This window comes from Homo sapiens, chromosome Y, assembly GCF_000001405.40.
Source record: "Homo sapiens chromosome Y, GRCh38.p14 Primary Assembly".
In the NCBI taxonomy this organism is placed as follows: Eukaryota; Metazoa; Chordata; class Mammalia; order Primates; family Hominidae; genus Homo; species Homo sapiens.
In genome coordinates this window covers 20,901,302-20,926,568 of record NC_000024.10, presented here as the reverse complement: position 1 = coordinate 20,926,568, position 25,267 = coordinate 20,901,302, and the positions used below count along the sequence as shown (strand labels likewise).

Genomic DNA, 25,267 nt, shown 5'->3' with positions numbered 1-25,267 from the left:
AGAAGTGCATGCCACTAACATTGCTAATGTTTATTTTATCTAGAGACAGGGTCTTGTTTTGTTACCCCTAATGGTCTCAATTCCTGGACTTAAGCAATCCTCCCTAGTAATTCATGGTTCTTTCTAGGCAAATATTTTATTTCACTTTACTTAAATGTTCTCAAAGCCCTAAGGGAAGCTGGGAGAACAAGTTTTCAATAAATGCAGAATACCAATGAATACATATACATAATTTTAAATAATGGAATCAATATCCTCTAACTAGAGGGATTGAATAAGATGCATAAACAGGCAGAAACCATAATCAGGGAAATTGCAGATGAACTGTTTAGCATTATTCAGTCTAAGGAATAAGAGAAGAAAAACAATAAAGGAAAATAAGCAAAACTAAGTCAGCCATGGGACACCATCAAGCATATCAACATATCCATAATAAGAGTCTCACAGGAAAAGGAGATAGGAATAGGAAGAATATTTGAATAAAAAATGGTTGAAACTTTCTAAATATACTGTTAAACACAAATCTACCTATCCAAGAATCTCAGTTAAAAAAAATGAAAGGGGGTGGAGCCAAGATGGCCAAATAGGAACAGCTCCTGTCTACAGCTCCCAGAGTGAGTGATGCAGAAGATGGGTGATTTCTACACTTCTATCTGAGGTACTGGGTTCATCTCACTAGGGAGTGCTAGACAGGGGGTGCAGGAATGTGGGTTCACTGCACCGTGCATGAGCCAAAGCAGAGCCAGGCATTGCCTCACTCAGGAAGTGCAAGGAGTCAGGGAGTTCCCTTTCCTAGTCAAAGAAAGGGGTGACAGACAGCACCTGGAAAATCGGGCCACTCTCACCCTAACACTACGCTTTTCCAACAGGCTTAAAAAATGGCACACCAGGAGATTATATCTTGCACCTGGCTCAGAGGATACTATGCCCACAGAGTCTAGCTGATTGCTAGCACAGCAGTCTGAGATCAAACTGCAAGACGGCAGTGAGGCTGGGGGAGGGGCTGCAGCCATTGTCTAGGCTTGATTAGATAAACAAAGCAGCCAGGAAGCTCAAACTGGGTGGAGCCCACCACAGCTCAAGGAGGGCTGCCTGCCTCTGTAGGCTCCACCTCTGGGGGCAGGGCACAGAAAAACAAACAGACAGCAGTAACCTCTGCAGACTTAAATGTCCCTGTCAGAGAGCTTTGAAGAGAGTAGTGGCTCTCCCAGCATGCAGCTGGAGACCTGAGAATGGGCAGACTGCCTCCTCAAGTGGGTCCCTGACCCCAAAGCAGCCTAACGGGGAGGCACCCCCACGTAGGGGCAGACTGACACCTCACACAGCCGGGTACTCCTCTGAGACAAAACTTCCAGAGGAACGATCAGGCAGCAGCGTTTGCATTCACCAAGATCCGCTGTTCTACAGGAATCACTGTTCTGCAGCCACTGCTGCTGATACCCAGGCAAACAGGGTCTAGAGTGGACCTCTAGCAAACTCCAACAGACCTGCAGCTGAGGGTTCTGTCTGTTAGAAGGAAAACTAACAAACAGAAAGGACATCCATACCAAAAACCCTTCTGTATGTCACCATCATCAAAGACCAAAAGTAGATAAAACCACAAAGATGGGGAAATAACAGAACAGAAAAACTGGAAACTCTAATAAGCAGAGCACCTCTCCTCCTCAAAAAGAATGATGCTCCTCACCAGCAACAGAACAAAACTGGACAGAGAATGACTTTGATGAGTTGAGAGAAGAAGGCTCCAGATGATCAAACTACTCCAAGCTACAGGAGGAAATCCAAATCAATGGCAATGAAGTTAAAAACTGTAAAAAAAATTAGATGAATGGATAACTAGAATAACCAATGCAGAGAATGCTTTAAAGGAGCTGATGCAGCTGAAAGCCAAGGCTCAAGAACTACGTGAAGAATGTAGAAGCCTCAGGAGCCAATGTGATCAACTGGAAGAAAGGTTATCAGTGATGGAAGACAAAATCAAAGAAATGAAGTGAGAAGGGAAGTTTAGAGAAAAAAGAATAAAAAGAGATGAACAAAGCCTCCAAGAAATAGAGGACTATGTGAAAAGACCAAATCTACATCTGATTGGTTTACCTGAAAGTGATGGGGAGAATGGAAACAAGTTGGAAAACACTCTGCAGGATATTATCCAGGAGAACTTCCCCAATCTAGCAAGGCAGGCCAACATTCAGATTCAGAAAATACAGAGAATGCCACAAAGATACTCCTCGAGAAGAGCAATTCCAAGACACATAATTGTCAGCTTCACCAAAGTTGAAATGAAGGAAAAAATGTTAAAGGCAGACAGAGAGAAAGGTCGGGTTACCCACAAAGGGAAGCCCATCAGACTAACAGTGGATCTCTCAGCAGAAACTCTACAAGCCAGAAGAGAGTGGGGGCCAATATTCAACATTCTTAAAGAAAAGAATTCTCAACCCAGAAATTCATATCCAGCCAATCTAAGCTACATACGTGAAGGAGAAATAAAATCCTTTACAGAGAAGCAAATGCTGAGAAATTCTGTCACTACCAGCCTGTCCTAAACGTGCTCCTGAAGGAAGCACTAAATGTGGAAAGGAAAAACTGGTACCAGCCACTGCAAAATCATGCTAAATTGTAAAGACCATTGAGGCTAGGAAGAAACTGCATCAACTAACGAGCAAAATAACCAGCTAACATCATGATGACAGCATCAAATTCACACATAACAATATTAACTTTAAATGTAAATGGACTAAATGCTCCAATTAAAAGACACAGACTGGCAAATTGAATTAAGAGTCAAGACCCATCAGTGTGCTGTATTCAGGAAACCCATCTCACGTGCAGAGACACACACAGGCTCAAAATAAAAGGATGGAGGAAGATCTGCCAAGCAAATGGAAAACAAAAAAAGGCAGGGATTGCAATCCTAGTCATTGATAAAACAGATTTTAAACCAACAAAGATCAAAAGAGACAAAGAAGGCAATTACGTAAAGGGATCAATTCAACAAGAAGAGCTAACTATCCTAAATATATATGCACCCAATATAGGAGCACCCAGATTCATAAAGCAAGTCCTTAGTGACCTAGAAAGACAGTTAGACTCCCAAACAATAATAATGGGAGATTTTAACACTCCACTGTCAACATTAGACAGATCAATGAGACAGAAAGTTAAAAAAGATACCCAGGAATTGAACTCAGTTCTGCACCAAGCAGACCTAATAGACATCTACAGAACTCTCCACACCAAATCAACAGAATATACATTTTTTTCATCACCACACTACACCTATTCCAAAATTGACCACATACTTGGAAGTAAAGCACTCCTCAGCAAATGTAAAAGAACAGAAATTATAACAAACTGTCTCTTAGACCACTGTGCAATCAAACTACAACTCAGGATTAAGAAACTCCTTCAAAACCACTCAACTACATGGAAACTGAACAACCTGCTCCTGAATGACTACTGGGTACATAACAAAATGAAGGCAGAAATAAAGATGTTCTTTGAAATCAACGAGAACAAAGAACAACATACTAGAATCTTTGGGACACATTCAAAGCAGTGTGTAGAGGGATATTTATAACACTAAATGCCCACAAGAGAAAGCAGGAAAGATCCAAAATTGACCCCCTAAAATCACAATTAAAAGAACTAGAGAAGCAAGAGCAAACACATTCAAAAGCTAGCAGAAGGCAAGAAATAACTAAAATCAGAGCAGAACTGAAGGAAATAGAGACAAAAAAAAAAAAAAAAAAACGCTTCAAAAAATTAATGAATCCAGGAGCTGGTTTTTTTGGAAAGATCAACAAAATTGATAGACTGCTAACAAGACTAATAAAGAAGAAAATAGAGAAGAATCAAATAGACACAATAAAAAATGGTAAAGGGGATATCACCACCGATCCCACAGAAATACAAACTACCATCAGAGAATACTATAAAAACCCCTATGCAAATAAACTAGAAAATCTAGAAGAAATGGATACATTCCTCGACACATATGCACTCCCAAGACAAAACCACGAAGAAGTTGAATCTCTGAATAGACCAATAACAGGCTCTGAAATTGTGGCAATTGTCAATAGCTTACCAACAAAAAAAGGACAAGGTAGATTCACAGCCGAATTCTACGAGAGGTACTAGGAGGAGCTGGTACCATTCCTTCTGAAACTATTCCAATCAATAGAAAAAGAGGGAATCCACTCTAACTCATTTTAAGAGGCAAGCATCATCCTGATACCAAAGCCTGGCAGAGGCACAACAAAAAAGAGAATTTTAGACCAATATCCTTGATGAACATTGATGCAAAAATCCACAATAAAATACTAGCAACCCAAATCCGGCAGCACATCAAAAACTTATCCACCATGATCAAGTGGGCTTCATCCCTGGGATGCAACACTGGTTCAACATATGCAAATCAATAAATGTAATCCAGCATCCAGCATATAAACAGAACCAAAGACAAAACCATATGATTATATCAATAGATGCAGAAAAGGCCTTTGACAAAATTCAACAAGCCTTCATCCTAAAAACTCTCAATAAATTAGGTATTGATGGGGCATATCTCAAAATAATAAGAGCTATCTATGATAAACCCACACTCCTATTCAACAGAGTGTTGGACGTTCTGGCCAGGGCAGTTAGGTAGGAGAAGGAAATAAAGGGTATTCAATTAGGAAAAGAGGAATTCAAATTGTGCCTGTTTGCGGACGACATGATTGTATATCTAGAAAACCCCTTTGTCTTGGCCCAAAATCTCCTTAAGCTGATAAGCAACTTCAGCAAAGTCTCAGGAAACAAAATCTATGTATAAAATCACAAGTATTCTTATACACCAATAACGGACAGAGAACTAAATCTTGAGTGAACTCCCATTCACAATTGCTTCAAAGAGAATAAAATACCTAGGAATCCAACTTAAAAGGGATGAGAAAGACCTCTTCAAGAAGAACTACAAACCACCACTCAATGAAATAAAAGAGGATACAAACCAATGGAAGAACATTCTATGCTCATGGGTAGGAAGAATCAATATCATGAAAATGGCCATAGTCCCCAAGGTAATTTATAGATTCAATGTCATCCCCATCAAGCTACCAATGAATTTCTTCACAGAATTGAAAAAACTACTTTAAAGTTCATATTGAACCAAAAAAGAGCCTTCATTGCCAAGTCAATCCTAAGCCAAAAGAACAAAGTTGGAGGCATCACGCTACCTGACTTCAAACTATACTAGAAGGCCACAGTAACCAAAACAGCATGGTACTCTTACCAAAGGAGAGATACAGATCAATGGAACAGAACAGAGCCCTCAGAAATAAAGCCGCATATCTACAACCACCTGATCTTTGACAAACCTGACAAAAACAAGAAATGGGGAAAAGATTCCCTATTTAATAAATGGTATTGAGAAAACTGGCTAGCCATATGTAGAAAGCTGAAACTATATCCCTTCCTTACACCTTATAAAAAAGTTAACTCAAGATGGATTAAAGATTTACATGTGAGACCTAAAACCATACAAACCCTAGAAGAAAACCTAGGCTATACCATTCAGGACATAGGCATGGGCAAGAACTTCATGTCTAAAACAGAAAAAGCAATGGCAACAGAAGCCAAAATTGACAAATGGGATCTAACAGATCTAAACTAAAGAGCTTCTGCACAGCAAAAGAAACTACCATCAGAGTGAACAAGCAACCTACAAAATGGGAGAAAATTTTTGCAACTTACTTATCTGACAAAGGGCTAATATAAAGAATCTAGAATGAACTCAAACAAATTTACAAAAAAAAGCAAACAACCCCATCAAACAGTGGGTGAAAAGTGGGCAAAGGATATGGAGAGACACTTCTCAAAAGAAGACATTTAGGCAGCCAAAAAACACATGAAAAAGTGCTTATCATCACTGGCCATCAGAGAAATGCAAATCAAAACCACAGTGAGATACCATCTCACACCATTTAGAATGGCAATCATTAAAAAGTCAGGAAACAACAGGTGCTGGAGAGGATGTGAAGAAATAGGAACACTTTTACACTGTTGGTGGGACTGTAAACTAGTTCAACCATTGTGGAAGTCAGTGTAGCGACTCCTCAGGGATCTAGAACTAGAAATACCATTTGACCCAGCCATCCCATTACTGGGTATATACCCAAAGGATTATAAATCATACCGCTATAAAGACACATGCACACGTATGTTTATTGTGGCACTATTCACAATATCAAAGACTTGGAACCATCCCAAATGTCCAACAACGATAGACTGGATTAAGGAAATGTGGCACATATACACCATGGAATACTATGCAGCCATAAAAAATGAAGAATTCATATCCTTTGTAGGGACATAGATGAAAGTGGAAACCATCATTCTCAGCAAATTATCACAAGGACAAAAAACCAAGCACTGCATATTCTCACTCATAGGTGGGAATTGAACAATGAGAACACATGGACACAAGAAGGGGAACATCACACTTCAGGGAATGTTGTGGGTTGGAGGGAGAGATAGCATTAGGAGATATAACTAGTGCTAAATGACGATTTAATGGGTGCAGCACACCAACATGGCGCATGTATACATATGTAACTAACCTGCACATTGTGCACATGTACCCTAAAACTTAAAGTATAATAATAATTTAAAAAAAAAAGAAACTGGGAGGCAGGTTTTGCGGTAAGATGAGATCTTATCACCGCACTCTAGCTTAGGTGACAGAGTGAGACTCTGTCTCAAAAAGGAAAAAAAAGTGCTATTTTTGAAGTAACTATGTGCAAATAGGCTAAACTTACCTGTTCACAACTATAGATTGTCAGGTGTTTTTAGACTCACACTAAAGCATAAGAAGAAGAAATAAAAGCAGTCAACAAAAAGAAATTATCATAGAACAAACAACAGAAAAAGCTCTTAGCACTTTTATGAAATCAGGTCAAATTGTCTTCAAGGCAAAAAAAAAAAATTCTCAGCAATAAAAAGGGTCAGTGCAGAAGAGTATTTTGTCAGAAAGACATCAGTTTTAAGATTTGATACATCCAATAACATGTAAAAATGAATACACCCAGCATAAAAGTAAAAAACAAATATGTGACTACAAGGCATCTCATGGTTTAGAGCTAACTTTTTTCTTTAGAATTCAACTGCATTTATTTGAGAAGAGTATGTTATTAAAATATGTAAAAATGATATAAGTAACCCCCTTCTACTACAGAAAAGGAGTCCCCATCCAGACATTAAGAGATGGTTTTTGAATCTCAAGAAAGAATAAAGCATGAGTGTACAGCAAAAAGTAAAGGCAAGTTTATTAACAAAGTAAAGTGGTAAAAGAACAACTACTGCATAGACAGAACAGGATGTTCTTGAAAGTAAGAAGAGGAACGCATCCACCTTAAGTACAAAGCTTGTATATATCAGTAGATGTGTTCTGCTACAAGAATTTGTAATAAAGAATTAATTTTCTTAATTACAACTTATATCTCAAGAATCAATATGATTATATTTAAAGCAAAATTAGAAATGCCTTTGTCCTCCAGATATTGAAATATCTGGACACTCCCAAGTCTGGGTCTGTTTAGTAAACATTATTAATTTGTTCTCTTGACTGTAAACATGTAGAGACTAGGAATGGCTAACTTTCTGGAATGACAGCCCAGCAAGTCTCAAGCCTCAATGTTCTGGCCATCAGACAAATGGAGTCACTCTGGTTCCAGTCCCTCTGATGTATTGCTCCCTCCCTTTACAAGAGGACCTTTAATCCTAAGCGTTGCAGAGGGGCAAAGATCCATCTTCTGTAACTTCCTCAGGCTGAATAGGGCCAACGATATTCCTACCTAACTATTAGGGTTTCTTGCATTCAGGGTAGAGAGAAGCTCAGTCAGAGAGGATTAGTATATTTAAGGTCCTTCATAACTCTAAGTCTCAGCAAAAGGTGATATCTGGAAGATTAATAAGTGGCCAATTTAAGAAAGCATTGAGTGAGATTATCTTGCATTCCTACACAAAGAATACAACTACAATGGATTCCACAACAGCAAAGCAAAATGAGAAAAATATTGCAAGTAAACTTAACAGGGAGGCCTTCAAGAATTGGGCAGTTGTTTGAACCAAGCCAATATAGGGTCAACTGATAGCACATCAATGGCAGATATATGAGTGTCTAAAGTTTTCATAGCCTCGGTAATATTATGTGAATAGTCTGGAACATACACACAACATTAAGTTTTGAACAGAGCACAAGTTCCCTTTTCAGCTGCTGTTAAAATGTCCAAAGCCATATGATTTTGTAAGACTACCTGCATAATCTGAGAAGTTTCCACAGTTAAGAAGGTAAGGGGCCTGGCACAATGGCTCACACCTGTAATCCCAGCACTTTGGGAGGTCGAGGTGGGTGGATCATTTGGGGTCAGGTCATGTTGTCCAGCCTGGCCAACATGCTGAAACCTAGTTTCTCCTAAAATTACAAAAATTAGCCACATGGTAGGGCCACATGCCTGTAATCTCAGCTACTCAGGAGACTGAAGCAGTAGAATTGCTTGAGCCTAGGAGGTGGAAATTGTGGTGAGCCAAGATCACACCACTCCACTCCACTCTGGGTGATAGAGTTGAGATGCTGTCTTATAAAAAATATATTTAAAAAAAGGTAAGGGCATGGCCTGCATTATTGAAATCTGTAGCAGTGTGTTCGGCTAAAGCTTCAACTTCTAACTTGATTGTACTTAGAATTGTAGCTACCTGTGGGGAAAACATAGCCATCAGATAGAACCACCAAGATGACCATTTTTGTTGCCTATGGGAAGCTTTTACAATTTCTTGGTTAGATGGGGGAGAGTCCAATTTTGTGAGGATACCTCCTGGGAGATAAGGGTGACCCCATGTACAACTTCCTGTCCAGTTATAATGTAAGTATGGCCAGCCATGAGTTCTACATGCCCATAACCATCCCCAAGAAGAAGGGTAGGAACTCATTTTTGGCAAATTATCTTGCCATCACATTCACATGTTGTTGGTTAAAGAAGGGTCTGATTACATTGTTAAGATGAGAGCTATCTCATACAACGGACTTCAGTCTGGTGGTAACTATTATTGTGCCTTTCAAAACATAGAGGTGCTTTGTCTGATAACTGCACTTGAACAGCTGACATTCACACAACTTCATTATGTATAGCATAACCTAAAGTTGGGGCGGATGTTAGCTGTTTTCTAATTAGATTAAAAAGTTGCCTTCTTCAAGAAATAACTAAAATCAGAGCAGAACTGAAGGAAATAGAGACACAAAAAACCCTTCAAAAAATTAATGAATCCAGGAGCTCGTTTTTTGAAAGGATCAACAAAATTGATAGACCGCTAACAAGACTAATAAAGAAAAAAAGAGAGAAGGATCAAATAAATGCAATAAAAAATGATAAAGGGGATATCACCACCAATCCCACAGAAATACAAACTACCATCAGAGAATACTACAAACACCTCTCTGCAAATAAACTAGAATATCTAGAAGAAATGGATAAATTCCTTGACACATACACTCTCCCAAGACTAAACAAGGAAGAATTTGAATCTCTGAATAGACCAATAAAAGGATCTGAAATTGTGGCAATAATCAGGAGCTTACCAACCAAAAAGAGTCCAGGAACAGATGGATTCACAGCCGAATTCTACCAGCGGTACAAGGAGGAATGGGTACCATTCCTTCTGAAACTATTCCAATCAATAGAAAAAGAGGGAATCCTCCCTAACTCATTTTATGAGGCCAGAATCATTCTGATACCAAAGCTGGGCAGAGACACAACCAAAAAAGAGAATTTTAGACCAATATCCTTGATGAACTTTGATGCAAAAATCCTCAGTAAAATACTGGCAAAACGAATCCAGCAACACATCAAAAAGCTTATCCAACATGATCAAGTGGGCTTCATCTCTGGGATGCAAGGCTGGTTCAATATACGCAAATCAATAAATGTAATCCAGCATATGAACAGAGCCAAAGACAAAACCACATGATTATCTCAATAGATGCAGAAAAGGCCTTTGAAAAAATTCAACAACGCTTCATGCTAAAAACTCTCAATAAATTAGGTATTGATGTGATGTATTTTGAAATAATAAGAGCTATCTATGACAAACCCACAGCCAATATCATCCTGAATGGGCAAAAACTGGAAGCATTCCCTTTGAAAACTGGCACAAGACAGGGATGGCCTCTCTCAGTACTCCTATTCAACATAGTGTTCGAAGTTCTGGCCAGGCAAATTAGGCAGGAGAAGGAAATAAAGTGTATTCAATTAGGAAAAGAGGAAGTCAAATTGTCCCTGTTTGAAGATGACATGATTGTACATCTAGAAAACCCCTTTGTCTCAGTCCAAAATCTCCTTAAGCTGATAAGCAACTTCAGCAAAGTCTCAGGATACAAAATAAATGCGCAAAAATCAAAAGCATTCCTATACACCAACAACAGACAAACAGAGAGCCACATCATGAGTGAACTCCCATTCACAATTGCTTCAAAGAGAATAAAATACCTAGGAATCCAACTTACAAGGGATGTGAAGGACCTCTTCAAGGAGAACTACAAACCACTGATCAAGGAAATAAAAGAGGATACAAACAAGTGGAAGAACATTCCATGCTCATGGGTAGGAAGAATCAATATCATGAAAATGGCCATACTGCCCAAGGTAATTTATAGATTCAATGCCATCCCCATCAAGCTACCAATGCCTTTCTTCACACAATTGGAAAAAACTACTTTAAAGTTCATATGGAACCAAAAAAGAGCCCACATCACCAAGTCAATCCTAAGCCAAAAGAACAAAGCTGGAGGCATCACACTACCTGACTTCAAACTATACTACAAGGCTACAGTAACCAAACAGCATGGTACTGGTACCAAAACAGATATATAGATCAATGGAACAGAACAGAGCCCTCAGAATTAATACCACACATCTACAACCATCTAATCTTTGACAAACCTGAGAAAAACAAGCAATGGGGAAAGGATTCCCTATTTAATAAATGGTGCTGGGAAAACTGGCTAGCCATATGTAGAAAGCTGAAACTGGATCTCTTCCTTACATTACACCTTATACAAAAATCAATTCAAGATGGATTAAAGACTTAAATGTTAGATCTAAAACCATAAAAGCTTTAGAAGAAAACCTAGGTATTACCATTCAGGTCATAAGCATGGGCAAGGACTTCATGTCTAAAACACCAAAAGCAATGGCAACACAAGACAAAATTGACAAATGGGATCTAATTAAACTAAAGAGCTTCTGCACAGCAAAAGAAACTACCATCAGAGTGAACAGGCAACCTACAAAATGGGAGAAAATTTTTGCAACCTACTCATCTGACAAAGGGCTAATATCCAGAATCTACAATGAGCTCAAACACATTTACAAGAAAAAAACAAACAACCCCATCAAAAAGTGGGTGAAGGACATGAACAGACACTTCTCAAAAGAAGACATTTATGCGGCCAAAAAACACGTGAAAAAATGCTCATCATCACTGGCCATCAGAGAAATGAAAATCAGAACCACAATGAGATACCATCTCACACCAGTTAGAATGGCAATCATTAAAAAGTCAGGAAACAACAGGCGCTGGAGAGGATGTGGAGAAATAGGAACACTTTTACACTGTTGGTGGGACTGTAAACTAGTTCAACCATTGTGGAAGTCAATGTGGTGATTCTTCAGGGATCTAGAACTGGAAATACCATTTGACCCAGCCATCCCATTACTGGGTATATACCCAAAGGACTGTAAATCATGCTGCTATAAAGACACATGCACACGTATGTTTATTGCGGCATTATTCACAATAGCAAAGACTTGGAACCAACCCAAATGTCCAACAATGATAGACTGGATTAAGAAAATGTGGCACATATAGACCATGGAATACTATGCAGCCATAAAAAATGATGAGTTCATGTCCTTTGTAGGGACATGGATGAAATTGGAAATCATCATTCTCAGTAAACTATCACAAGAACAAAAAACCAAACACCGCATATTCTCACTCATAGGTGGGAATTGAACAATGAGATCACATGGACACAGGAAGGGGAATATCACACTCTGGGGACTGTTGTGGGGTCGGGGGAGGGGGTGGGATAGCATTGGGAGATATACCTAACGCTAGATTACGAGTTAGTGGGTGCAGCACACCAGCATGGCACATGTATACGTATGTAACTAACCTGCACAATGTGCACATGTACCCTAAAACTTAAAGTATAATAATAAAAGAAAAATAAAAAATAATAATAAAAAAACAAAGGTGCCTTCTTGTCTCTTCATAGAAAGGGAAGCACCTAAGTCCCCATGTGGCTGTGATACATGGGAGAAGAGGGGCTATATTTATAATGTTCAGTTTCCTAATAATAATAAAATCCTTATAAACTTAAGTTGGTTGGTTGAATATGCCAGGGCAACACAACGGTAGAGAATGGCAGCAATTCTCCTCATACCTAATGGTTTTTTTGGTTATATAGAGATGCTAAAATCTGTGCCCCCTCAGTAAATAAGTTACTGTCTGCTTGATTCCAATTTATACCCAAAAGTAGAATACCAATCCATATCTTTATGTTACCCATCACTTTCATTTCTTCTGAACAGAAGTCAGAAGTCACTGATTGGTTCACAGGAATAAATGGGATCAATCTCTTGTGTTCCATCAGCCTGTGAGTTTTCATAAGAGACAGGATTAAATCGATATAAGTGGACCCAGAACTTTATTCCCAGAAGTTTAAATACAATTTTGGTACTAAGGAATTCCTGGAGATGAAGATAGGTTTTTTGTAATTGTCATTATGAACGATGGGGCATTATCTCTCTGTAAGTTTTTAGGCCACCAAAATCTAGCAATTACTCCTTTAGTAGGAGTTCAGAAACCTCTATTTCCTTTTGAGATTGCTTAGGAAAGTCCTGAACCCAACTGGTAAAAGTGCACATGTTCACAAGTCTGAGTTACTCGCTTTACTCTTTTAAGTAAGCCTTTTCCTGTAAAAAGCTGTGACGTTAATTGAAACATAGAATTTCTTCCCAAATGAGTACAGTCATGCAAATGCTTAACTTTTTTTCACTGATTGTCACCTGGTATTAACAGTTCATCAAGAATTTCTAGTAACAAAGCCTGATATTTCAATAAGCATCCCCCTGTCATCCACTGGTGTCTTTTAGCTTCCAGTACTCCTTATACTTGGTGTGAAGTTAAAGCCTCCATATATTGTCCTAAAAGCAGTTCATTGGCTTCATCTACTAAAAGAACAGTTGCTGCTACTGCCCTGTGGCATCCAGACATAATAAGAAAGTAATGTGAGAAAACCAAAGTCCATAAGAATAGTTTAGAGGATAGGTAAAATTGCTTCTATAGGTTTGGCCATCTATCTCCATGACCATACAATTTTGGGTGACAGAGGTCCATTACAATGAATGAAAACTGAGTCAGCAGTCCAGAAAGAAGTTAACAAACTTACCTGCCACATCAAGTGTTACCTGAGGTTCCTCTGGAGACATGGCTAGTTGTCCAATGGGAGTTATAACAGAAGTTTTCAGACCCCATAACTCTTGTGCTTGCCTGACTATTTTGGTCATCATTGGTTTGTGTGCCAATGGCTCCCTTTGGAATGCTGGGTATCTCTCTTCCAATGGCCAGTTTTCTTCCAGTGTGCACACTGATTCATGCCTAAGCCATGGTGACTTGGACACTGAGCTTTGTAATTCCCACTTTCAGCTTCACTTGTTCAGGCCAAGAGCCAGGAGGGCAACCTCATATGGACAGTAAGCTTAAGGTTACAGCTTTGAGCTGCACTTTGTGGGAGGCCTTTATTGCTCTTTCTGCTTCCTCTGCTTTTTCCCTGTTATTAAAAACTAAAAATGCCATATCCAAAAGATGTTACATAGGAATTTGAGGACGCATAGTTGCTTTTTGTAGTTTCCTATGGATGTAAGGGGCAGACTGGGTTACAAAATGCACTCCAAAAAGCTTTTGTCCTTCCCTTGAGGCAGGATCAGTGTTAGTATATTACCTGATTTTCTCAATTAAAAGCCCTTGAAACAAATCTGGATTCTCACATTTGTGCTGAGAAACTTCCTTAACTTTTTCACAGTTAAAAGGCTTTTTTGTATATTTCTTCATTCCTCTCAATAAACAACTGACCGTATCATCTCTCATCCCCAAGTCCTCACTGCTCCTTTGATAGTTCCTCTCTGAATCTTGATCTCAAAAGGCTATACCTCCTGCCTGACATATATTATGATTTTGGTTTTAACCCAATACTTCATGTGCATGGACCTATCTACCCCCAAAATGCATTGTTTCTCTTCCACTGTACAACACACAGACAACAAAACATGCAGATCCTGCCTAGTTAAACTATAGGTTAGAGTGAATTTCCCAAATTTATCTGTAAATTTTCCTAGATTTTCAGAAAAAAATGATTTTCTCTTTATGTAGGACCAAAAGCAGACATAGAAAAGAGAACATGCACTTTCACAGCGACTTCTTCCCCATTTGCCACCCCTGTGAGTGGACAAAGATTTCACTTTAAAGGTAAACAGGAGGCTCCACTATAAGTAGTACTTGCTGGCCTAAGTTCCTCAGGGCATGGTAGGCATAGAGGGGGACTGGAATAGATTAAGTGGTCCCTATAGAACTTTCAAGTGGACTAGAGAGGGAAAGGGCCAATACACCTGAACATTCGAGCTGACAGAAGGAAGCTCTGCTCCACCCAAAAATGCCCACTGAACCAGAAGGAGAGGGTTTGCATTAAAGGGTCATCTAGTATGTTTAGCTCTTTTTCCTATTTTTCTCTCATCAAACATGCAGAGTTTTATCCTGACTGAGCAGCAAAAAAATGCTTGAACATATAGTATTTTTATCTCCCACTTACAAATTAAATTGAGTTGAAGTATACTATTATAGCTGTAGTTCCAGTAAAAGGCTATTTCTCTTGTTTTTTGGAATAATACAGAGACCAAATGGTATTACATAGAAACACCAGTTTTCTCCTTTTAAGCCCGTTCAGCTTAAACTAGTCTCAGCATTCAAGCTTGGCCACTAAAAATAATGAGAGGTTTTTAAGACCAGCTGCATTAATGAGGGGATCCCTGCTGAAAATTGAATTCTCTTATTCACATTATCCAAATAATGTAAGTGAAACAAGCCATGAATCTTAGGTAAATCACAACATGGACTTCCACAGAAATATCAAATTAAAGCAAAGGAGATAAAGAGGATTTAGATGGGAATGACCAGAGCAAGCAGGCCCTGAGCAATAGCAGACAAACAAAGCTGGTTTGCTGAAGTTCAAGAAAGTAGTGTTTTTTTTAGTGTGCAAAATGAAACAAAACATCAAGGAGAAAAGACCCCTTATTTCCATCCTAGTTGTTCTTGATGGTCTGAAAGGTGGCAACAAAACATAACCATATCTACTTAAACCTATTTCTTATAGCCGTTAAACACCGAATCTAAATCAACAATTTTAGAGACAATAGCTTCAATGCTTTTTGTTCCCAGTCTTTTATAAGCAAATAGATGAAAATTGAGATGCGCACAGGGAAAGAGTAAGTTAAAAGCCCTAAGACCAGTTAAAGAGTCTCCTGAAAATGACAGTGAAAGAGAGACAGCAACCAAGAAATGTATTCATTGAGTAAATAAGATAAAGCTGATTAATACAACCAGCATAGCTTGTGGTGTGTGCCAAACCCATTGTTAGCCAAAGGTAACTTTACTCAGAGCGGTCTCTAACCACATAAATCTTAGAAGAAACTTTAACCCTTCTAAATCAGGCCTCTAACCCAAGATCAGTCAAGGGTCTTTGACTTTTTATTGTTTTTTGTTTTGTTTTGTTTTGTTTTGTTTTGTTTTTTATGGAGTCTCACTCTGTGACCAGGCTGGAGAGCAGTGGCAAGATCTCAGCTCACTGCAACATCTACCTCCCGGGTTCAAGTGATCCCCCTGCCTCAGCCTCCCAAGTCCCTGGGAATACAGTGTGCACCAACATGCCCAGCTAATTTTTTTATATTTTAGAAGAGATGGGGTTTCACCATATTGGCTAGGATGGTCTTCATCTCCTGACCTCATGATCCACCTGCCTCACCCTTCAAAAGTTCTGGGATTACAGTTGTGAGTCATCACACCAAGCCTCTTGCCTTTTATTAAGAAGGACCTCTAACCTACTCTATCTTAGGATACTGTAGCTCCCATGAGTTGGGCCTCTAATCCAATCCCATTCTTTACCAAGATATATGCACTCCACTTACCCAAAGTCAGCCAATTGTTGCACACAGATGATTTTCCTTTGGGTCAGGTAGTCTCTTCAGTGTCATCCCTGGTTCACCAGAAATACATTATAGGACCCCACCACTTACCCAAAGTCGGTAGTTTTCGCACTATAGTCCCTTCTGTGGTCTCCAGAAATATGTTACAAGACCCCAACACCTATCCAAAGGTAGCAATTAGGTCAGAGTTTGTGCACCAGAGTCCCTTCTGTAGTCACCAGAAATATGTTTCAGAAATGGGGTGCCAATCCAGACCCCAAGTGAGGGTTCTTGGATCTTGATCAAGAAATAGATCATAGTGAATCCGCAGTGCAAAGTAAGACCAAATTTCTTAGGAAAGTAAAGTGGTAAAAGAACAGATAATCCACAGAGAGAAGGACATTCCTGAAAGTAAGAGGAGGAATTCTTCTTACTTGCTCTTCCCCCTCTCTCTCTCCCATCTCTCCCCCTTCTCTCCAAACCCACCAACATATTAAAAGGATAATACACAGCAATGAACTAAGATTTATTCCAGCAACAAGAATGGATTCAACATATAAAAATCAATGGAATATATCACATCAATAGAATACTAGACAAAAGTCACAGGATCAGCTCAATAGACAGAAAATATCTCATTTTGCAAAATACAACACATTTCAGAATAAAAACACTCAGAAAACAATACTTTGCCAAAGTAGCAAATGACATCTAATAAGAAAAATATAATATAGCATAATATTTTCTGCCAAATGCGAAGACTAAGATCTGATTTTTAAAATTTGCCTAAATTCCTGTCTAAGGGGTCTGGGTAGCCATCTCCTACAAACCATAAATTCTAAACAGATGGATTTTATTTAACCCTATATACTGTGTCTTACTTTCCAATCCAATTCTGGGATAACATTATGTAATGAAAAGGAAGTCAAACTATTTTATGTCAAAACGTGTATTTCCAGTATTTTGAAATGGTCTTGCAAAGCTGTCCTTTGTGGGGACAAGTTTGTGTCTGAAAAGAATCCCTATTAACATGGCTAGATCTTTTTCTTCAGGCCCTGCCAATCCTGAAGAGTTAAACTAATAGTTTAGCACATTTTAAAGGCCTTAATAGGAAGCATTTGTCATTTTTCTAAAGGCAGCCCCTATAAAACTTCAAAAGAACATTGGTCTCCACAATGTTTTAGCTTAGCTTGAATATTTCCTTTTTATCAATCCCAGGTCTTTAGACAAACTCATTCAATTGTCAACCAGAATATGTTTAAATTAGTGTATAAACTTGAAGCTACTTCTCCCGCGAGTTGTCTTGTCCCACCTTGCTGGACCAAACCGATGTATTTCTGAAATATATTTGATTGATGTCTCAAGCCTCCCTAAAATACAAAAAAAAAAAAAAAAAAAAAAAAAAAAAGCAGCGCCATCCAGACCACCTTGTGAACATGTTCTCAGTGTCTGCTGGAGGGTGCATCATGGGCCATGGTCAGTCATATTTGGCTCAGAATAAATCTCTTCAAAATATTTTACAGTTTGACACTTTTCATTGAATATAATTTTGTGCCTCAATATGTGGGGCCTCAGAGAAGACTTAGAACCCCAAAGGAGTTACCCAAACTTAGAGCTAAGGCACCTGCAGGACCCATTAGAGCCTATGCAACTTCAAGCTTCTCCTCCAGTGGAGATGGTAAGTCCTCCTGGGCCCGAGATCTCTGTTTTGGTTGACAGTTCTGGATTTATTCAAGCTGGGTTTTCTCCTAGAAAGCTGTTGTTTTAGGGTTCTAATTCTAGTTCAGAGATGCATTTTAAAGTGTTTTCTCTCTTTTTTTTCCCCAGAATTAATCTTAATTCAGTTTGTGCACATTTGCGTGAGGAAATGGACTGCTGTTTACGTAGGTGAAGCAGAGTCTGAGATTTCTCAGCTCCAAAGGAAAAGGGCATTTGTGCCTCCCAGCTGAAAGACACCCCTGAGTGACAGGAGACTTCATGGGACTGGCTGGGTGGTTGATCTCCCATGATGTGCAGCAGTCACACAAAGTAATCCCCCAAAAAATTTTGTTGTACAAATGGTTCATCCAGAAAATGAGTATAAGGGCTGATCACCTAGTGTCTTGAGCCCTCTCAAAGGTTATAGACTTTTCATGGGATGTGTGTAAGCAGGTGAAATGAATCAGTGGTGACACACTGTGAAGTCCTGCCTACAAGCAGCATATCAGTCCACCACACAGAAACACTAGGGCGCAGCTCAGTGCCCCCTTTGAAGAAAGAAATAAATGTGTAAAACAAATAATCTATGAAAAAGACAAAAACAAAGAGAATAATCTTTTTTCAAGCACTCTGTAGGTTTGTGGCACCACAGCTTGCTATAGTATATGTAAAATAGAAGTAATATGGTTTTTATGCACATTTACATTAAGGAAAAACAGCCCTATGATTGACTTGCAAACTACAGAATTCATATTCTCTCTTTTTTTTGTTTTATTTCATTTTCTGCCAGCTTTTAATCTGCTCTTGCTTTTCTACTAATATAAAAACCACAATTTAGTGCTAACAGAATTTTTGTAATTTGCAAGCTGGGGAGTTTTTTATTATCTCATGTTCAAAGTACTGAAGTAATACTATGGAATGTTTGTGTTTTTATGTATATGTATGTGTATGTGTATGTGTGTGTATATTTAAAAGGTTTTTAAGCCACCTGGGGCCCGGAAGGGTGACGTGGCTGTGGCATTGCCATCCTTGCTATGTCTGCTATTTTCAATTTTCAGAGTCTATTGACCATAATCTTGCTGCTTATATGTACCTGTGTTTATATTCAATCCTTGGCACCCAGCCTCATGGACAGAAATGAAACTGAATTGTTGGGTATATTTTGGAAGTGTGTCAGAATTGGTGAATGGAAGATTCCTTATGTTGCAGTGTGCTGTATAGTAATGGGCTTCAACATTCTCTTCATACAGTAGCTGGGGAAAATTCCTGAATTTAATTGCCATCAACTTTCATTGTGTACAAGGACTTACTGCAGAAAATAATGGAAAAGATGGTTAACTGTTTTATCTCCAAACATTGAAAGAGATAAATTTCTAGATGCTTTTCTCTGTTTTTATGTTATTGGACCAATGTTCTGTATAAATAATTAAGATGTAACCATTTAATAGTCTGTAACAATCAATCTGAGTACTGTACCTACAATATTACTTTCTGCAAATGTTATTCTATTGTGTCAGATACCCAAATTTTAGTGAGATGTCTCTAAGGCACATAGTTAACAAAATTTGTTCATTACTCAAGTTCCTTTCACTGTGATTTGGAAATGGTTTAATCTTTATAGAATGAGATGTTTTTTGGGCTAACATTTTATTAAAATGTCTCAGTTTGTGTTAATAAGGATTGCATTCATATTTAAGAGTGCTTGCTTTTCCTCTGGGCACACCATTTTGATCATTAACCAGAGTACCGGTACTCTTAGCAAACTCTAGTTTATGACAAGTATATAAAATATTTAAAACAAGCTTATGAAGTTCTTAAGGAGGAAGGTAAATGAGACATAACTTAAAAGAAGTAGTGGGAAATTGTTGATATGTAACATTAGTGGATTTAGACTCACCAAATGGCAGATTAGGCTCTGAAACCTCTTGTCAGGTATAGGTAAGTGTTTTGTGCATGAACTTTTACGAGAAAGCTATCTTTCTCTGAAAAGCACAAGATCCTTAGAATGAAAAAAATATATAAAAAAACTATCCTACAGGTGTTTTTCATTCTTTTTAGTGTCATGGCTTTAAAAATGAAATATTTATTTTAATTGCCCTAAACAAACTTATTTTCATTTTGTTTTCTTTTTTAATACAGTACTTTAAATCCAGTTTGTGTTTTGTCAACTTGAACTGGGATCTCTTTTATTACTTTGGACGTGATAAATAGTTTTTAAATATATTGATTTGTATGCTGTGGTGTATCTTTGAACTTTGATAGTGAAAGAAGACCTTCAACAATTTTTAATCTAGGCAAGAGGAATATTGGGAATATCACTTCAAATTTTAGAATACAGCAGTTATTTTAAGGTCATGGTTAACATTTCTTAAGGTTCAACTGAAATTCAGTTAAAATTTCAATGCTAAGAAGGACCTAAATCTTAGCTAAAAATAGATATATAGGAGTAATAGTAGATAATATTAATTAGATTGTTTGCAGTTAATCAATCAGCTTAAATAATTTGAGGATCAAGTCCAGTGTCCTGTTAATGCCCTGTTCTACTGTGCCAGGCACTATGTTGAATGCTCTTACATGTTCAAATTCAAAGTAGCTCTTTCATACTGGGAATGATAGTAACATGTAACTTGCAATACATTCCTTCATCTTAGTAATAAGATGAACAGTCTAGTTAGGAAAAAATAAAGATTTGGATAAATTAACTTTTCCAAGTTTAGAGAGCAAAAATGAGTAGATCTCTGCCTTGTTTTGTGAAAAAGACTTAGCACTGATAAACGGAATATTTATATTCCTACACCATTCTTTCAGCATATCATCACTGAAAACAGGAAGATAGGCACACAGATTCTTCCCCGTAGTAACTCATGTCATGTGTTTCCGTGTGAAGAGACCACCAAACAGGCTTTGTGTGAGCAATAAATCTTTTTAATCACCTGGATGCAGGTGGACTGAGTCCAAAAAAAGAGTCAGCAAAGGGAGATAGGGGCGGGGCCATTTTATAGAATTTGGGTAGGTAGTGGAAAATTACAGTCAAAGGGTGTTTTTCTCTCATGGGCAGGGATGGGGGGTCATAACGTGCTCAGTGGCGGAGCTTCGGAGTCAGGAGAAGGAATTTCTCAAGGTAATGTCACCAGTTAAGGCAGGAACTGGCCAACTTCACTTCTTTTATGATTCTTCAGTTGCTTCACACCATCTGGATGTATACATGCAGGCTTGGGATCAGAGGTCTGATATTCCTGTCTCCTTATATTAATATGAAGACTAAAACAAAATAGTGTTGAAGTGTTGGAGCAGCAAAAATTTTACAGGGTCTTACAGAAAGATAACGGGCAGGGTTTCTCACAGCTGCTTCAAGTGGGATTAGGGGTGGCATGTGAACCTAGAGTGGGAGAGATTAACCTGAAGGAAGATTTTTTGTTAAGGGGCAATATTGTGGGGTTGTTAGAAGGAGCATTTGTCATATAGAATGATTGGGGATGGCCTTGATGCTATCTTGTATGAATTGAGAAACTAAACAGAAGACATAAGGTCCAAATAAGAGAAGGAGAAAAAGAAGTGTTAAAGGACTAAGAATTGGGAGAACTTAGTGTCAGGCATCTGAGCCCATGACTTCACATATACATCCAGATGGCCTAAAGTAACTAAAGAATCACAAAAGAAGTGAAAATGGCTGGTCCCTGTCTTATCTGATGACATTACCTTGTGAAATTCCTTCCCCTGTCTCAGAAGCTCCCCTAGTGAGAACCTTGTGATCCCTGCCCCTGCCCACTTAGAACAACCCCCTTTGACTACAATTTTTCAATACCTACCCAAATCCTATAAAGCAGCCACACTGCTATCTCTCTTCACTGACTCTCTTTTGTACACAGCCCACCTGCATCCAGGTGAAATAAACAGCCTTGTTGCTCACACAAATCCTGTTTGGTGGTCTCTTTACACAGACGTGCATGACATTTGGTGCCAAAACACCACCATGCTGTTATATGGGCTGAAAGAGGTTTGCTCACTACACAAGTGTCCTCCATCATTAATGCCTCTTTAATAAGAAGGCTTCTCAAGGCTGCTTTACTTCCAAGGGAAGCTGGAGTCATTCACCACAGGGGCCACCAAAAGGCCCCAGATCCCATCTCTCAGGGCAATTCTTATGCTGATATGGTAGCTAAAGAAGCGGTTAGCATTCCAACTTCTGTCCCTCATGGTCAGTTTTTCTCCTTCTCATCAGTCACTCCCAACTACTTCCCACCTGAAACTTCCAACTATCAATCTCTTCCCACACAAGGCAAATAGTTTTGGACCAAGGAAAATATATCCTTCCAGCCTCACAGGCCAATTCTATTCTGTCATCATTTCATAACCTCTTCCTTGTAGGTTACAAGCTGCTAGCCTGCCTCTTAAAACCTCTCATTTCCTTTCCATCATGGAAATCTATCCTCAAAATATCACTTCTCAGTGTTTCATATGCTATTCTACTACTCCTCAGGAATTTATCAGACTCTCTCCCTTCCCTACATATCAAGCATGAGGATTTGCCCCTGTCCAGGACTTGCAAATTGACTTTGCTCACATGCCCTGAGACAGGAAACTAAAATACCTCCTGGTCTAGGCATACACTTTCACTGGATATGTAGAGGCTTTTCCCATACAGTCAGACAAGGCCACTTCAGTCATTTCTTCCCTTCTGTCAGACACAATTCCTCGGCTTGGCCTTCCCACCTCTGTATAGCCCAATAACAGACAGGCCTTTATTAGCCAAATCACCCAAGTAGTTTCTCAGGCTCTTGGTATTCAGTGGAAACTTCATACCCCTTACAATCCTCAATCTTCAGGAAAGGTAGAACAGACTAATGGTCTTTTAAAAATACACCTCACCGAGCTCAGCATCCAACTGAAACAGGAGGGCTCTGTCAAGTATAGAGCCAAAAAACTCACCACCCAAACTGAATCCCCTTGGGCACTCTCTAATTTGATGTACTGGGTCCTCACAATTCTTAGTCCTTGAATACCTCTTTTTCTACTTCTCTTATTTGGACCTTGTGTCTTCCATTTAGTTTCTCAATTCTTACAAAGCCATATCTAGGCCTTTACCAATCATTTTATATGACAAATACTCCTTCTAACAATCCCAAAATATCACTGCTTACCACAAAATCTTCCTTCAGCTTAATCTCTCCCACTCTAGTTTCCCATGTGACCCATAATCTTGCTCAAAGAAGCCCTGAGAAAATTGCCCATTATCTTTCCATATCACCCACAAAATTTTTCACGAACCCAACACTTTACCACTATTTTGTTTTATTTTCCTTATTAATATAAGAAGACAGGAATGTCAGGCCTCTGAGCCCAAGCCAGCAGGTATACATCCAGATGGCATGAAGCAACTGAAGAATCACAAAAGAAGTGAAAATGACTGGTTCCTGCCTTAACTGATGACATTACCTTGTGAAATTCCTTCTCCTGGCTCAGAAGCTCTCCCACTGAGCACCTTGTGGCCACCAGAGAACAACCTCCTTTGACTGTAATTTTCCACTACCTACCTTAATCCTATAAAAGGCCCCACCCCATCTCCCTTTGCTCACTCTCTTCTCAGACACAGCCCACCTACCCCCAGGTGATTAAAAAGCTTTATTGCTCATACAAAGCCTGTTTGGTGGTCTCTTCACACGGACACATGTGACAATACATAGAGCACAGGTGAAAGAGATGAAGTATATATTACAAAGTACAATGTGATGGCCTTTATTATTCAGATAATACCAGGATTCCAGAAGAAAACAAAAAAGGTGACTGTTCAGTTAGGGTGTGAACTTCCAGAGGAGCATTGCTTAAGCTGAACTTGAGAACATTGTGCAAAAGAACAGTCACCTGTTAAGAACTAGAAATAACCTATCTTGTGCCACTTCAAGAGTATTAAGACATAGGCCTAGAAACGTAGACAGAGGTTAGATCCTAGACTGCCTTGTATTTTTCTCTTTCCTGTTGATTACCAACCTCAAAATTGAAGTTGAATATGTTTTTCCTCCTGCCTAACACAAAACTCCTTAAGGGCAAAAATTTAAATTATTCTTTGCTGCATGTGCAAACAAGATTGAGTATATTCATGCCTACCTTATTTTGGACTAGCAATACAACACTATACTTTCTGAAGACTTGCCTGAATAGTATACAGGGTGAAGGCAACTGACTATTTAGGTCAGTATTTTTAGAAGCTCTTAATAGCTCATACTACATTGATGCCAAAAGCAGCACTGATTGTTAAAGCACACACCTGCACAAGAAGCAAAAAGGGTTGCATTTATACATCCTGGGTGCACAAAAAAAAATTCCAAAAAGCAAGGACTTTTGCACTTTGTAAAGCCTTTGAGAAGTTAGTGGATCATAGGAAGCTTATAACAAGACTGGAAGATTCTTAAGTATCTCACTTTCTTTGGTATCCAGTAACAGTAGATGTTCAAAATATGTAGTTGATTAGTGGCAGCATTGTGAATGCTGCACACCCTTGTGATTATTATGAAGTAAGTCACTACTAGTTTCAGAAAAGTAGCTTCATAATTATTTATGCACTGCCTTCCATGAATTCTACTTTGCCCTGAACTAATCCCCAAAATCTGAAATGCTACTGCAATATCAGAAAAAAATGGGGAGGTGGAAATATATTTCCTGCGATTTTAATAGTAGAGAGAATCATTCACATTTCTGGTTAGTTCATATGTCTAGTATGTAATAAAAGTCAAGATGAACTCTCAATAAATAAATAAATAAATAAATAAATAAATAAATAAATAAAAGGTTTTTAATAATTTCTACAGTTTTATGTTCAGCTGGCAGTTAAATCCAATTTAATTTCCCTCTAGCACACCAAACTTTTTCTCCCCCACCTTATGATGTAAATTTTGCTATCTGACATTCACCTGAGTTGATTTCTTTAATATGCAAATGCAGTACTATTTAGCTGACAACTGCCTAGGGTGATGCAACATGTTATCAACAATTTGAAAGTCTAAGATAGGAAAAAAGGAAGAAAAGAAGTCTTTATAAATCTAAGATGTATTTTATCAGCATGCCTAAATAAATCTATGCATTTATGTGTTGTATACACAGTATTTCACTACTAAAAATATATAAAACAGCTGTAGTTAGTTGGCTTTAAAAAAGTGCTTAAATCAGATATTTAAAGGAAGTCTAGTCAAATGATTTTTCAAGTTTATGTGACTTAAGCAAAATATTTAATAAATAAAGTGGCTTTAAAATTATTGGTAAAATAGTATTAGCAATGTCTTAAAAATTATTAGCATTTT

General features: G+C 38.4%; 1 pseudogene; it reads left to right on the top strand.

Moving 5' to 3' along the window:
- TMEM167AP1 (transmembrane protein 167A pseudogene 1) lies at nt 18,957-24,716 on the top strand (annotated as a pseudogene).